The sequence below is a fragment of the Homo sapiens genome, chromosome 9 (assembly GCF_000001405.40).
Source record: "Homo sapiens chromosome 9, GRCh38.p14 Primary Assembly".
NCBI classification, from domain to species: domain Eukaryota; kingdom Metazoa; phylum Chordata; class Mammalia; order Primates; family Hominidae; genus Homo; species Homo sapiens.
In genome coordinates, this window is record NC_000009.12 from 19,167,683 (window position 1) to 19,184,848 (window position 17,166).

The window sequence follows — 17,166 nt, forward strand, 5'->3', positions numbered from 1 at the left end:
CGTTTTCTAGGTATAGAATCATATTGTCAGTGAAGAGAGATAATTTGACTTATTTTCCTACTTGGATGCATTTTATTTCTTTCTTTGGCCCGGTTGCTCTGGCTAGGACTTCCAGCACTGTGCAGAATAGGAGTGGTGAAAGAGGACATCCTTGTCTTGTTTCAGCTCTCAAGGGGTATGCTTCCAGCTCTGGCCCATTCAGTATAATGTTGGCTGTGGGTTTGTTATAGGTCTTATTATTTTCAGGTATTGAAATTCCATTCTTTAAATGGCATCACTGAATCCTTTGTTCAAAAAACCCTTCAGAAATGACTCAGCTCGCTCACAGTAAAATCCAAGCCTTTAAGACATGATCCAGCACCACTTGCTTCTTTGATTTGAACTCCTACTCTTCTTCCCTTTACTCACTCCAGTTGAATCGCGTATGGGCCTCCTTGCCATCCCATGAGCATGCCAAGGTAGGAGATTGTAACACATATCTCTTTTTCAATTTTTTTCTTTTTTTTTTTTTTGAGACAGATTCTCACTCTGTTGCCTAGGCTGGAGTGCAGTGGCGCGATCTCGGCTCACTGCAAGCTCCACCTCCTGGGTTCACGCCATTCTCCTGCATCAGCCTCCCAAGTAGCTGGGACTACAGGCGTCCACCACCACACCTGGCTAATTTTTTGTATTTTTAGTAGAAACGGGGTTTCACTGGAGATTGTAACACATATCTCAGAAAATGAGAGCTCAAGCCAAAAAAAGATTTATTAAGAGTATGAAGGGCTGGGCGCGGTGGCTCACGCCTGTAATCCCAGCACTTCGGGAGGCCGAGGCGGGCGGATCACGAGGTCAGGAGATCGCGACCATCCTGGCTAACACGGTGAAACCCCGTCTCTACTAAAAAAAATCCAAAAAAATTAGCTGGGAGTGGTGGCGAGCGCCTGTAGTCCCAGCTGCTTCGGAGGCTGAGGCAGGAGAATGGCGTGAACCCAGGAGGCGGAGCTTGCAGTGAGCGGAGATCGAGCCACTGCACTCCAGCCTGGGTGACTAAGCAAGACTCTGTCTCAAAAAAAAGAAGAAAAAAAAAAAAGAGTATGAAGATTTGTACAACACAATTAAAGCAGTTCCTCAAATGACCTACATAGAACTCTGAAACCAAATATTAGAGAAAAAACTTTTTCTTTTCAAGCACAAAGGATTACTTAATAAAACTGACAATGTACTAAGCCAAAAGAGAGGTCTTCTTAAATTAAAAAATCAATATTATATAATCCAGATCCTCAGATCAGAATATAATAAAGTAAAAAACTGATAACAAAAAGATAATTTAAAAATGAATTAGAAAATAATAATAGTTCAAAAAATAGCAAAACACCCATATTTATGCAGCCTTTGACTTTCAAAAAGGAACCAAAGCAATCCAATGAGTAAATGAAAGTAATTCAATAAATTATGCTGCATATCCTTATGGAAAAAATAAATCCCTTCCACCAGCTCATAACACACAAAAATCATTTTGAGATAGATCATAAACCTAAATGTAAAGCTAGAACCATAAAGCTTTTAGAGGAAACATGTGAAAATAACAGCTTGACTTGTGAATAGGTGAAGGTTTGAGAAAGCAGTAGACTTCATCAAAAAGAAATACTTTTGGTTACCAAAAGCCACCATCGGCTAGGCATGGGAGGCTGGGGTAGGAGGATCACTTGAGTTCAGCCTAGCCTGGGCAAAATAGGGAGACCCATCTCCACAAAAAATAAAATAAAATTAGTCTGGCACGGTGGCACGTGCCTGTAGTCCCAGCTACTTGGGAGGCTGAGGTGGGAGCGTCTCTTGAGCCCGGGAATTTGAGGCTGCAGTGAGCTGTGGTCGCTTCACTGCACTCATCCTGAGCAACAGAGCAAGACCCTGTCTCAAAAAACCAAAAACCAAACAAAACATGCTGAACGCAGTGGCTCATGTCTGTAATCCCAGCACTTTGGGAGGCCGAGGGAGGCGGATCATTTCAGGTCAGGAGTTTGAGACCAGCCTGGCCAACATAGTGAAACCTCCTCTTCACTAAAAATACATTAATTAGCCAGGTGTGGTGGTGCGGCTATAGTGCCAGCTACTCGGGAGGCTAAGGTAGGAGAATTGCTTGAAGCTGGGAGGCAGAGACTGTAGTGAGCTGAGATCATGCCACTGCACTCTAGCCTGGGTGACAGAGTGAGACTGTCTCAAAACAACAATAAGCCATTTTTTTTTTTTTTTTCCTGAGATGGAGTCTTGCTCTTGTTGCCCAGGCTGGAGCACAGTGGTGAGATCTCAGCTCACTGCAACGTCCGCCTCCCAGTTTCAAGTGATTCTCCTGCCTCAGCCTCCCAAGTAGCTGGGATTACAGGCACCCACCACCACACCTGGCTAATTTTTGTACTTGCAGTAGAGATGGGGTTTCACCATCTTGGCCAGGCTGGTCTTGAACTTCTGACCTTGTGATTCACCCGCCTCGGCCTCTCAAAAGTGCTGGGATTACAGGCGTGAGCCACTACGCCCGGCCTTTTTTTTTTTTTTTTTTTTTTGAGATGGAGTCTCGCTCTGTGCCCAGGCTGGAGTGCAATGGCTCGATCTCGACTCACTGCAACCTCCATCTTGCGGGTTCAAGTGATTCTCCTGCCTCAGCCTCATGAGTAGCTGGGATTACAGGCACATGCCACCACGCCCAGCTAATTTTTGTATTTTTGTTAGACATGGGGTTTCACCATGTTGGTCAGGCGGTCTCGAACTCCAGACCTTGTGATCCGCCCACTGCGGCCTCCCAAAGTGCTGGGATTACAGGCATGAGCCACCGTGTCCAGCCCAACAAGCCACCACTAGGAAACAGATGCAAGCCACACACTGGGGAAAAATTATTAACAAAATATATATCAGATAAGGCTGCAGTATCTAGGATATATAAGGAATTCCTACAACTCAGTAATAAAAAGACAACTCATTTTTTTGAAAGGGAAAAATATTTCAATAGATACTTCACCAAAGTAGGTATGTGGCTGGTCGTGGTGGCTCACGCCTCTAATCCCAGCACTTTGGGAGGCCAAGGCAGACAGATCACCTGAGGTCAGGAGTTCAAGACCAGCCTGGGCAACATGGCAAAACTCCGTCTCTACTAAAAATACAAAAATCAGCCAGGCATGGTGGCGTGCGCCTGTAATCCCAGCTACTTGGGAGGCTGAAGCAGGAGAATAGCTTGAACCTGGGAGGCGGAGGTTGCAGTGAGCCCAGATCATGACACTGCACTCCAGCCTGGGTGAAACACACACAGACACACACACACACACACACACACACACACACACTAATAATAATAAAAAGAAGATATGTGAGTGTCCAGTAGCACATGAAAAGATGGTCAACATCATTGGTGTTCAGGGAAATGCAAACTAAAACCTGAATGACATACTGCTACACACCCACCGGGATGGCAAAAATTTTTTAAATAGTGAGGATGTGGAGCACCAAAACCTCATACACTTATTAGTGGTCATTAAAACTTAAAAGTATTTTAAGAAAAACTATTTGTGACTTTCCTCTGAATTTTCTTCATATCTATCAACATACACTACAGGCAGGCAAAGAGGAGAAGGATGGGGGCAGTGGGGGATGGGAATCTCAGGAAAAATGGAAAAAGTTTTCCAAGGACGGAGGTGAAACAGAGAGAAAAATAATGGGAGGAAAGTAAATAATAGAGACAAGAGGAAAACAGTAGGAGGCAGAAGCAAACTGTGAGCTACAGAAGGAAGAGGCAGTTAGGAGGAGAATAGACATGTGAAATCAAAGTGTGAAAATGAGATGATATATAAAGTGCCTAAAATAGCACCTGGCATATAGGATTACATAATATTCAAATACAGTTATTAACTAGAAATCAGAGGGAAAAGTAAAAAAATGTCAAGTATTCTATAGCTGCTTTTTTTTGTTTTTTTTTGTTTGTTTGTTTTGTTTTGTTTTGTTTTTTGAGACGGAGTCTCACTCTGTAGCCCAGGCTGGAGCGCAGTGGCGCAATCTTGGCTCACTGCAACCTCCGCCTCCCGGGTTCAAGTGATTCTCCTGCCTCAACCTCCCAAGTAGCTGGAATTACAGGCATGGGCCACCATGCCCAACTAATATTTGTATTTTTAGTAAAGACTGGGTTTCACTATGTTGGCCAGGCTGGTCTTGAACTCCTCACCTCGGGTGATCCACCCACCTTGGCCTCCCAAAGTGCTGAGATTACAGGTGTGAGCCACTGCACCCAGCCGATAGCTGCTTATTGAATAAATGTTTAGGTGCCCTAGTGATGCATAAAGTACATTGGTTCTGTAAGTGTTCTGTGCTAAATTAGCATTGTATATTGCTAACGTTAGTTCCCCCCAACCCCATAGTTCTATTTCTATCTTAATTTGAGCCTGTTATTGTTTTAGGTCTATTGTTGAGGCAGCAGCAAGGAATATTCAGGATGTAATTTGGTTTCTCATTTCCTGGCAACAATCACGTGAGAGGCAAATGAGAGGCTTTTGCTGAAAGGCTTTTTAAATCTGTAGTAATGAGAACAAATATTAAGTAATCCACTTGTGGATAAATAAAAGTTGCAGTGCTATGATTCAATCTTCATCTGATGAAACCAAAGTTCATTATGAAAACATAATTACACTCAAGATTCTGTACTGGGGCAGGGCTTGGTGACTGATGCCTATAATCTTAGCACTTTGGGAGGCCGAGGCAGGAGGATCCCTTGAGCCCAGGAGTTTGAGACCAGCCTGGGCAACATAGGGAGACCCTGTCTCTATCTTAACAACAACAAAAAAAGATTCTGTACTGAAATGTGATGTGAGGTTGGAACACTTACTGCATGGGAAAGTTGCAGGCGATGTCTGAGTTTCCCTGTGCAGGTTGTGAAACATACAACCAATTAAAAATTACTTTATGGCCAGGTGCGGTGGCTCACACCTGTAATCCCAGTACTTTGAGAGGCCGAGGCGGGCGGATCATGAGGTCAGGAAATTAAGACCATCCTGGTTAACACAGTGAAACCCCGTCTCTACTAAAGATACAAAAAATTAGCCAGGCGTGGCACGCTCTTGTAGTCCCAGCTACCTGGGAGGCTGAGGCAGGAGAATCGATTAAACCCAGGAGGCAAAGGTTGCAGTGAGCCAAGATCGCGCCACTGCACTCCAGCCTGGGCAACAAAGCAAGACTCAGTCTCAAAAAAAAAAAAAAATTACTTTAAAGCACTCCTCAAGTATAAATAAATATCAGCATTCTGAAAAATGAAGGGGACTGAAGGTGGTGAGTGCCAGCACATTTTTCTTCCCCAAGAGGAAAAAGAGATATGGCAAAGGATGCCGATTGAATGATAAGATGCCTAGTGTGGTTGGTGCAGGACTACCCTCATGTGTTTGGCAGTATAAGCGGGCCTTTAATCACCCACCTGCCGGTTGTCATACTTCGCATCACCCCTCTCCCCATCACGGGGAAGGGGAGGACATGTCCCTTCCCCAACTCGTGTCTGCCAAAAATGCATTCATGCTACTATTGTTATTCCTTCTCATGCCAAATCTCATCTGTTTATTAGCCTAGGACCTGGGGCAGGGGGCAGTAAGGTTGGGGGATCACTTGAGCCCAGGAGGTCAAGGCTGAAGTGAGCCATGATAGTGCCACTGCACTCCAGCCTGGGTGACAGAGCGAGACCATGTCTCAAAAAAAAAAAAAGACAGAAATTTCTAAATTGTCTTCTATTAACAGTAATCATAAACCAGTGTACACTCTCACTAAAAATATATGAGAATGCCTATTATTCTAAACCAAATATCAGAACTGTTGATATTTACCATGTAAGTTAAAATAGCATCTTTTTGTAGTTTAGTGTGCATTTCTTTTATTATGAAGAAGATTGGGAATCTTTTCCAGAATTTGGGGAGGTAGGTGGGTAAACAAACACAATACAAAAGTACTGTGACAAAGAGTTTTCTAGGAAGGTCAGATAAGGTCCCACAGAGGAGGTGGCATTTGATCTAGGTCCTGAAGGATGAGGGGGAATTCCGCCATGGAGCTTATTGATCCTGGTATGTAGTCAGCCAAAATGTTCAACAACTATATGTTGACTTAAGTGATAAAATCAGCCAGGTGCAGTGTCCCACGCCTGCAATCCTAATCCCAGCACTTTGGGAAGCTGAGGTAGGAGGACCCCTTGACTGCAGGTGTTCAAGACCAGCCTAGACAACACAGGGAGACCTCATGTTTCCAAAAGACACAAAAATTAGCCTGGTGTGGTGGCCCGCGCCTGTAAGTCCCAGCCACTCTGAAGGCTGAGGCAAGAGGATGACTTGAGCCCAGGAGCTTGAGGCAGCAGTGAGCTGTGACTATGTCAATGTACTCCAGCATGGGGAACAGAGACTCTGTCTGAAAAAAATAAAAAGAAGTTATAAAATTGAGATGTTTGGGTTGAGGTGAGAGGATTGCTTGAGTCTAGGAGTTCAAGGTTGCAGTGAGCTATAATTGCACCACTTCATTCTAACCTGGGCTACAGAGCAAGACCCTGTCTCCTTAAATAAATAAATAAATAAACACATATATAAGACATATAGGCAACAAGTTTTCTGGATGGCTAAGGGGATTTTTTGCTATACGTGGCAAGACACTGACACACAAATACCAGTACACGATTAAGCAAGCCACCCAGTATGACTGGGTCAGTCCCGGGGGAACTGGGCAGGAGCTTTATAGTGTACATCTGGTTTCTTCTACTTTTTGGATGTTGAGCGACATCTAATGGCCAAATAGGAAAAAGTCTATGTTTTCAGTTTCTTCTTTTCCTTTCCTTCTTTCTTTCCCTTCCTTCCTTCCTTTCTCTTTTTCTTTCTTTCTCTCTCTTCCTTCCTTCTTTCCTTTCTCTCTCCTTCCTTCCGTCCTTCCTTCCTTGTTTCATTCTCTCTCCTTCCTTCCTTCCTTTCTTTCTATCCCTTTCTCTCTTCCTTCCTTCCTCTATTTTTTCCTCCCTCCCTTCCTTCCTTTCTTCCTCTCCTTCCTTTCTTCTTTTTCTTTTCTCTCTGTCTCTCCCTCCCTTCCTTTTCTTTCTTTCTTTCTTTCTTTCTTTTTTTCTTCCTTTCTTTTTTTGACAAGGTCTCACTCTGTTGCACAGACTGGAGTGCAGTGGCACAGTCACAGCTCACTGCAGCCTTGATGTCCCGGGTTCATATGATCCCCCCACCTCAGCCTCCTGAGTAGCTGGGACTATAGGCATGTGCCACCACGCCTGGCTAATTTTTCCGTTTTTTGGCTGCCCAGGCTGGTCCAGTATTTTATTTTCAAAGAAAATTCTCTTGTAGGAACACATACACAACCTAAAAAAAAGTTTCTCCAGATTTAAGGAAAACTTGAGTCTTATTTTTCCCTGTGAACATAGAAGAAAACTGAATAAATTAGAGGTAAGCTAATTTTTTTTTTTTGAGACTATTTCTCTCTTGTTGCCCAGCCTGGCATGCAATGGCAATGATCTCGGCTCACTGCAACCTCACCTCCCGGGTTCAGGCGATTCTCCTGCCTCAGCCTCCCGAGTAGCTGGGATTACAGGCATGCACCACCATGCCCGGCTAATTTTTGCATTTTTAATAAAGACGGGGTTTCACCATGTTGGTCAGGCTGGTCTCGAACTCCTGACCTCAGGTGATCCACCTGCCCTGGCCTCCCAAAGTTCTGGGATTACATGCGTGAGTCACTGCACCCGGCCAGAGGTAAGTTAATTTGTGTGGTAATTTTCTTTTCTTTTTTCTTTTTCTTTTTTTCTTTTTTTTTTTTTGAGACAGAGTCTACCGAGTCTTGCTCTGTCACCCAGACTGGAGTGCAGTGGTGCAATCTCAGCTCACTGCAACCTCTCTCCCCCGGGTTCAAGCGATTCTGCTACCTCAACCTCCCAAGTAGCTGGGATTACAGGCGCCTGCCACCGCGTCCGGCTAATTTTTGTATTTTTAGTAGAGATGGGGTTTCAGCATCTTGGCCAGGCTGGTCTTGATCTCCTGACCTCGTGATCCACCCACCTCGGCCTCCCAAAGTGCTGGGATTACAGGCGTGAGCCACTGTGCCCGGCCTTGTGTGGTAATTTTCATCAAATGAAATAGAAAAAAAAGATGTTAGAATTGGAAGAGACCTTACATCCAATCTCCTCATTGTGTCAATAAGGAAATTTATGTCCAGAGAGAAATGATTTGCCCAAAGCCACACAGCTAGAGAGTTATTAATGCTGTAATATAGTCGTGATTTTGCTACAATGAAGAGAGGAACAGTGAATATATTTACCCATCCATTTGCAAAGCAAAAAAAAAAGGGCAAATACTTTCTGATTACTTTAAAACCTAATAATGTATAATATTGGCCATGCATGGAATTTAATACTATAATGCTCAATAATATAGTAGTTACTGGCAATTAGGGTCTTGGCCTAGGGTATTTGATTTTTCAGGCCAATAGTGGACAAAAACAGACAAATTCCTATGAATGCCAGACTACATTTCAAAAGACCCAAGTAAGATTTTGACCTCTGTAACCTGAGAGTTGCTTCCCTAATATTTCTCTTTGCCTCTTATCTGACAATAGGCAAAGTTGAGGTAGGAGATGAGTATCAAACCACATCATTTAATCAACCAACCCGTAAACATGTATATATCCCCTTTTGTATGTTTAGCATCACAAGGATTGTGGGGACACAACTGTATACATAATGGAGAACAAGTCATGGTGAACTCACTTCTCCTACCTGTTGATAGGAGTTGAATCAAAAGCAGCTTTGAGGTAGAAGGGAAGTTACAACAATACTATAACCACTCTTGCAGATATATTTATTAACTCATTGGTAAGTATTTGTTGAGTATCTACTATATACCAGTGCTAGGGATACAACAGAAATCCAGACCCAAACTCTCCATGAAGCTTATAACCTGGTAACTATATGCCAACAATTGTGATAAGTGCTACAAAAAGAAAGTACTGACCGGGCGCGGTGGCTCATGCCTATAATCCTAGCACTTTGGGGGGCCGAGGCAGGTGGATCACCTTAGGTCAGGAGTTCAAGACCAGCCTGGCCAACATGGTGAAACCCCATCTCTACTAAAAATACAAAAATTAGCCAGGCGTGGTGGCACATGCCTGTAATTCCAGCTACTTGGGAGGCTGAGGCAAGAGAATCACTTAAACCCGGGGGGTGGAGGTTACAGTGAACTGAGATCGCACCACTTCACTCCAGCCTGGGCGAAAAAGCGAAACTCCATCTCCAAAAAAAAAAAAAAGAAAGAAAAAAGATGATGCTTTGGACCAGAGTGGTATAGAAGGAAGTGGTGAGAAGGGTTTGGATTCCGGAAATATTTTTAAAATAATATCAACAGATATTGTTGATACTTTAATGTGGGGTATGAGAGAAAGAGAGGATTTAGGGATGATGCCAAGATTTTTGGCTTGAACTATTGGAAGGGTGGAGTTAGTGGCTGGGCACGGTGCTCACACCTATAATCTCAGCACTTTGGGAGGCCAAAGGGGAGCGAAATGCTTGAAGCCATGAGTTCGAGACCAGCCTGGGCAACATGGCAAAACCCTGTCTCTACAAAAAAATACAAAAATTAGCTGGATGTGGTGTGGTGTGCCTACAGTCCCAGCTACTTGGGAGGCTGAGGTAGGAGGATCGCTTGAGCCTGGGAGGCAGAGGTTACAGTGAGCCAAGATTATATCACTGTACCACTGCACTCCAGCCTGGTGATAGAGTGAGACCCCATCTCAAAAAAAAGAAAAGAAAAAGAAAAAAAGTGGAGTTACTGATAACTACAGTGGGGATTTATGTCATGTACATATCTTCCATATATGCATATATCTTTGTCACCTCTCAATAGTGCCTTCATGACCAGAATCTTTTTTTTTTTTTTTTGAGACAGAATTTTGCTCTTGTTGCCCAGACTGGAATGCAACGGCACGATCTCAGCTCACTACAACCTCCACCTCTTGGGTTCAAGCTATTCTCCTGCCTCAGCCTCCCGAGTAGCTGGGATTACAGGCATGCACCACTAAACCCAGCTAATTTTGTATTTTTAGTAGACAGGGTTTCATCATGTTGGTCAGGCTGTTCTCGAACTCCTGACCTCAGGTGATCCACCCGCCTTGGCCTCCCAAAGTGCTGGGATTATAGGCATGAGCCACTGTGCCTGGCCCCAGAATCTTAAAAATATATTGTTCATAGCCAATATATATTTATTATTTATGTGTGAGACATGATATCACTAATGTAAATATAATATTAACGGCTTTTTTGTTTGTTTTTGAGACGGAGTCTCACTCTTGTCACCCAGGCTGGAGTGCAATGGCACAGTCTTGGCTCACTGCAACTTCTGCCTCCCAGGTTCAAGTGATTCTCCTGCCTCAGCCTTCCAAGTAGCTGGGTTTACAGGCACCCAGCTAATTTTTGTATTTTTTTGTAGAGATGGGGTTTCACCATGTTGGCCAGGCTAGTCTCAAACTCCTAGCCTCAAGTGATCTGCCCGCCTCAGCCTCTAAAAGTGCTGGGATTACAGGCATGAGCCACTGTGGTGCCTGGCCCTGAATTTTTTTTTTTTTTTTTTTTTTTTTTGAGACAGAGTCTTGCTCCATTGGCCAGGCTGGAGTGCAGTGGTGTGATCTTGGCTCTCTGCAGCCTCTGCCTCCCGGGTTCCAGCGATTCTCCTGCCTCAGCCTCCTGGGTAGCCGGGATTCCAGGCACACGCCACCATGCCCAGCTAATTTTTTTTGTATTTTTAGTAGAGACGGGGTTTCATCATGTTGGCCAGGCTGGTCTTGAACTCCTGATCTCAGGTGATCCGCCTGCCTTGGCCTCCCAAAGTGATGGGATTACAGGTTTGAGCCACCGTGCCCTGCCACCCCTGAAGTATTTTTAATTGGACAGATTTTCTTAATTTTGAAGAATCAAATTCTTTAGGATCTGGAGATCCACTTCATTCTTTCTAATCTGTATGGTATATCACAGGATGTACCATAATTTAACCATTATCTCGTTTGATAGACATTTAGATTGCTTCCAACATTTTTCCTACAACTAAAACATCTTTACCACATATTTTCAAGCATATGAATAAGGACTTAAATAGGAGAAATCCTTTAAAATACTTTTGTTTTGTTTTTATTAGTTGGTTTTGAGACAGGGTCTCACTCTGTCACCCAGGCGGGAGTGCAGTGGTGCGATCACGGCTCACTGCAGCCTCGACCTCCCAGGCTCAAGCATCCTTTCGCCTCAGCCTCTGAGTAGTTAGGACTAGAGGCCCTCGCCACAACACTCAGCTATTTAAAAACAATCTTTAGTAGAGATGGGGTCTCACCATATTGCCCAGGAAAGTCCTGAGCCCCTGAGCTCAAGCAATCTGCCTGCCTCCAACTTCCCAAAGTGCTGGGATTACCGGCATTAGCCACTGCGCCCGTTCTCCTGTAAAATGCTTTCTAAAAGCAGGAGGCTGAGGCAGGAGAATCACTTAAACATGGGAGGCAGAGGTTGCAATGAGCTGAGATTGCACCATTGCACTCCAACCTGGGCAACAAAAGTGAAACTCTGTCTCAAAAAATAAATAAATAGGCCAGGCATGGTGGCTCATGCCTGTAATCCCAGCACTTTGGGAGGCCAAGGCGGGTGGATCACCTGAGGTCAGGAGTTCAAGACCAGCCTGGCCAACATGGTGAAACCCTGTCTCTACTAAAAATACAAAAAATTAGCCCGGCTGTGGCGGGCGCCTGTAATCCCAGCTACTCAGGAGGCTGAGGCAGGAGAATCGCTTGAACCAGGGAGGCAGAGGTTGTAGTGAACTGAGATCATGCCATTGCACTCCAGCCTTGGCAACAAGAGCAAAACTCCACCTCAACAAATAAATAAATAAAAATAAAAATAAAAAATAAAAGAATCAATTTGGCTGGGCACTGCGGCTCATGTCTTTAATCCCAGTACTTTGAGAGGCCGAGATGGCGGATCACCTGAGGTCAGGAGTTCGAGACCAGTCTGGCCATCATGGTGAAACCCTGACACTACAAAAAATACAAAAAAAAAAAAAAAAATTAGCCAGGCATGGTGGTGGGCACCTGTAGTCCCAGCTACTTGGGAGGCTGAGGCAGGAGAATCGCTTGAACCTGGGAGGTGGAGGTTGCAGTGAGCCGAGATTGTGCCAAAGTACTCCAGCCTGGGTGACAGAGTGTGACTCTGTCTCAAACAAAACAAAACAAAAAAGTGAGGCTGGCAAGGTGGACTGATAAAGTCATAAGGCCTCAAACACTAGCCGACGGAAATTAATAAGTAGGCAGTGAAGTCCCACTGAAGATTTTGAGGAAAGCAGTGACAGAATGACATACTAAAAGCAATATGTTAGGAAAAACCATTAAGGAGAAATTTCCAAAACTTGACAAGCCACCATGATTTTTTTTTTTTTTTTTAAACAAGAGTCTTGCTGTTGCCCAAGCTAGCATGCAATGGCACAATCTCAGCTCACTGCAATCTCTGCCTCCCAGGTTCAAGTGATTCTCATGCCTCAGCCTCCCAAATAGTTAGGATTACAGGTGTGTGCCACCACACCCAGCTAATTTTTTTTTTTTTAAACAAAGTTTTGCTCTTCTTACCCAGGCTGAAGTACAGTGGTGGGGTCTCGGCTCACTGCAACTTCTGCCTCCTGTGTTCAAGCAATTCTCCTGCTTCAGCTTCCTGAGTAGCTGGGATTACAGGTGTGTGCCACCATGCCTGGCTAATTTTTTATATTTTTAGTACAGACAGGGTTTCACCATGTTGGCTAGGCTGCTCTCGAACTCCTCACCTCAGGTGATCCACCTGCCTTGGCCTCCCAAAGTGCTGGGATTGATTACAGGCATGAACCGCAATGCCCAGCCAAAGTTTATATTTTTAATGGAATCATATGAAAGTAATGTTCCTATCAAATGGTTCATTTATTTGTAGAGATGTTAGCCAGTATTTTTTTTTTTTTTTTTGAGATGGAGTCTCGCTCTGTCGCTCAGGCTGGAGTGTAGTGGCGCCATCTCGACTCACTGCATCCTCTGCCTCCTGGGTTCCAGCAATTCTCCTGCCTCAGCTTCCTGAGTAGCTGGGATTATAGGCAGGCGCCACCTTGCCTGGCTAATTTTTTTTTTTTTAGCAGAGACTAGAAAAAATGTTTGGCCATATTGGCCAGGCTGGTCTCAAACTCCTGACCTCAGGTGATTCACCCATCTCAGCCTCCCAAAGTACTGGGATTACAGATGTCAGCCACAGCACCCAGCCCCAGTATTTCTTTGAAATACAAAATATACACTATCCTTTTCTTTTTTGCTGCTCTAGGGGAAAATGTACATACTATCTTAAGGCAAACACAGAATATACTAAAACTAAATGCTGGCTAGTTATAAGATAGGAATTTGGCAGGACTTGTTTCACAAGACGTAGGTCACAAAGACCCTGCTTATAAAACAGGGTGCAGTAAAGAACCCAGCCAAGGGCTGGGTGTGGTGGCTCATGCCTGTAATCTCAGCACTTGAGAAGCCAAGGTGTGAGGATCGCTTGAGGCTAGGAGTTCAAGAACAGCCTGGCAACATAAAAACAAAACAAAACAAAAAAACAAAACAGTTAGCCAGCTCCCTCCCAAAATCAAAATCAAGATGGCAAAGAAAGTGACCTCTGGAGGACGTGCGCAGTGGTTCACGCCTGTAATCCTAGCACTTTGGGAGGCCGAGGTGGGTGGATCACGAGGTCAGGAGTTCGAGACCAGCCTGACCAACATGGTAAAACCCCGTCTCTACTAATAATACGAAAATTAGCTGGGCCTGGTGGCGGGCACCTGTATTCCCAGCTACTCAGAAGGCTGAGGCAGGAGAATCGCTTGAACCTGAGAGGCAGAGGTTGCAAGTGAGCTGAGATCTCGCCACTGCACTCCAGCCTGGGTGACAGAACAAGACTGTCTCAAAAAAAAAAAAAAAAAAAAAAAAACAGAACGTGACCTCTGGTCATTCTCATTGCTCATTATATGCTAATTCTAATGCATTATCAGCGCCCTGAAAGACACTCCCACTGGCACCATGAAAGTTTACAAATGTTATGGCAACGTCCCTAAGTTACCCTATAGAGTAGGAGATGGGGAGGACCCTCAGTTCTGGGGAACTCCCCACCCCATTCCAAGAAAACATGAATAATCCACCCCCTTTTCAGCATGTAATCAAGAAATAACCATAACTATAGTTAGTCCAGCAGTCCGTGCTTCTACTCTGTCTATGGGGTAGCCACTGTTTCATTCCTTTACTTTTTAATAAACTGGCTTTCACTTTATTCGGTCCACTTGCTCCTGTTTTTTTTTTTTTTTTTGAGACAGAGTCTTGCTCTGTTGTCCAGGCTAGAGTGCAGTGGCATGATCTCCGCTCACTGCAACCTCCACCTCCCTGGTTCAAGCAATTCCCCTACCTCAGCCTCCCGAGTAGCTGGGATTACAGGTGCATGCCACCACACCCAGTTAATTTTTTTGTATTTTTAGTAGAGATGGGGTTTCACCATGTTGGCCAGACTGTTCTCGAACTCCTGACCTGAGGCAATCCACCTGCCTCAGCCTCCCAAAGTGTTGGGATTACAGGCATTAGCCACCATGGCCTCCTTAATTCTTTTCTGCCAAAAGTCAAGAACCCTTATGGCCTCCTGGGCTGATCCCCAGTTTGGGGAGTTGCCCTGTGACAGTTAGAGAACCCAGATGTCTTTATATTGTAAAATTACTTTAGGTCTTTGTGCCGACAGTTTGAAGACAGCTGTCAAAGGGGACTTCTAGCTCTGGGCTCCAGTACATTAAATAAGAAATATCCTGATGTACCCCCAGATCAACCTGCATTAGAATCACTGTAGGTATTTTTACAAATATAGGTTCTGAGGCCCCACCGCATACCCACTTAATTAGAATGGGGAGAAGGGGAGTCTGTGGTTTTACCAAGCTTTGTGAATGATTTTTAAGCATTCTGCTGCATTGCTTTCTAAACCCAGGCCTGTTTCCCACACTACTGTAATCAAGAGGGAACACTGAAGTTTCCTCAGTTCCTTCCTGTTTTTTCCTGTTTCCTTCTGCAGTGACCAACACTATCAGAAATGGCATTTTGGCAGGGACAGGGAGTACAGGAATGGAAACAGGAAAGGCATAAACAAGACTCCTCCTCTGCCCCAGGACTCTCTCCTGTGGGTCACATTACCAGTGAAGGCTTGTGAACTCTGATTTAGCTAAGTTAATTTTGTGCAAAAAAATAAATTTTGGCCCGGTGCGGTGGCTCACACCTGTAATCCCAGCACTTTGGGAGGCCGAGGCAGGTGGATCATGAGGTTAGTTCAAGACCAGCCTGTCCAAGATGGTGAAACCCTGTCTCTACTAAAAATACACGCAAAAAATTAGCCAGCGTGGTGGTGGGCGCCTGTAACCCCAGCTACTCGGGAGGCTGAGGCAGGAAAATTGCTTGAACCCAGGAGCTGGAGGTTGCAGTAAGCCGAGATCACGCCACTGCACTCCAGCCTGGGCCACAGAGAGGGACTCCATCTCAAAAAAAAAAAAAAAAAAAGAATTCTGGGGAGTTGTAGTGCTTGTTAAAAACAGATTCCGGGCCGGGCGCAGTGGCTCACGCCTGTAATCCCACCACTTTGGGAGGCCGAGGTGGGTGGATCACAAGGTCAGGAGTTCAAGGCCAGCCTGACCAAGATGGTGAAACCCCATGTCTACTAAAAATACAAAAATTAGCTGGGTGTGGTGGCGGGTGCCAGTAATCCCAGCTATTCGGGAGGCTGAGGCAGATAATTGCTTGAACCCTGGAGGCGGAGGTTGCCAGTAAGCCAAGATTGCACCATTGCACTCCAGCCTGGGCAATAGAGGGAGACTTCATCTCAAAAAAAAAAAACACAGATTACAAGGTCCTTTAGTAGAGATGATGATACCTTAATCTAGATGATTCAAATGTAGGTAGCTCTCAGAACACACTTTGGAGAACAATGACTTAAATCCAGTGAAGAAAATCTCCAAGAAGCTGTGACAATATGTGGTCTCTTGAAATCTAGAGATTGGTGCTACATGTGATGGCTCACCCCTGTAATCCTAGCATTATGGGAGGCCAAGGCGGGTGGATCACTTGAGATCAGGAGTTGAGACCAGCCTGGCCAATATGGTGAAACCCCATCTCTACCAAAAATACAAAAATTAGCCAGGTGTGATGGCGCGTGCCTGTAATCCCAGCTACTTGGGAGGCTGAGGCAGGAGAATCGCTTGAACCCAGGAGTGGGAGGTTGCAGTGAGCTGAGATCGTGCCACTGCCCCTCAGCCTGCACTGAGCTAGACTCCATCACAGAAAGAAATCTAGAGATTAGCTACTGAATATTGACAGCTTTATCTTCCCAACTAGCAAAACGATCCCTGCTAGAAGGAACAGATTCATTTTGGAAAAAGTATTCAGTAATCTCTGAAGCACAGAAACATTTTTTTCATTCTTGCTATGCAAACAGATTGTTGGCCTTCTTCAGTGAGGCAGGCCAGGACAAAATCTCAGCAGGCCCTTTCGACAGCATTTCTCCACAAATCAAATTAGGTCAAAGAGAAAATTCAGAGCAGTCTGAGGAAGGGAAAAAAAAAGCCCTGAAATGTGTTATAAAACTGGTGGGCAGGGGACAGGGGAACATCCCACCTACTTTGTTTGCTCTGGTAAAGGCTGGTGGCTTGTCACATGAACCCCAGGCCTTCCTGTTCTCGGCAGCTGCCTTCTGAGTCACTGTGGGCTGCAGGGGAGGGCCCCCTAACATCAGGGAACATAACAACCATATGACTCTTAGGTGAGGCCACTGCGCCAGGCCAATTCAAAAATTAAAGAGCGACTACATTGCCGATTTTCATTTATTTTAAGAACTTCTTTACTCCGTTTTTGTCTACAACTGCAAATTAGCAGAAGACAAAAAACAAACTAGTAAGTGGAATTCACATCTGGTAAGTGAGAACTGGTGCCAGTCCTATTAGTCACCAAGATCACTTAAGGGTGGAGTGCACTAGCAGGATAAAACATTAAACCAAAAGCAATACTTCCTTGTAACAGCTGGAGTTTCCTAAGAAATTTTTAAAATAAAAACCTAGAATGCCTAGCAGGCAAAATACCATAGTTAGAAAAGTCAACCTTTAC

General features: G+C 44.6%; 1 annotated feature.

Annotated features, from left to right (window-relative positions):
• Positions 16,794–16,843: an enhancer, noted in NCBI's record as "active region_28219". NCBI's record gives its function as "activates an Ori minimal core promoter by ATAC-STARR-seq in GM12878 lymphoblastoid cells {active_cell/tissue: GM12878}" and the evidence as "EXISTENCE:reporter gene assay evidence [ECO:0000049][PMID:35858748]".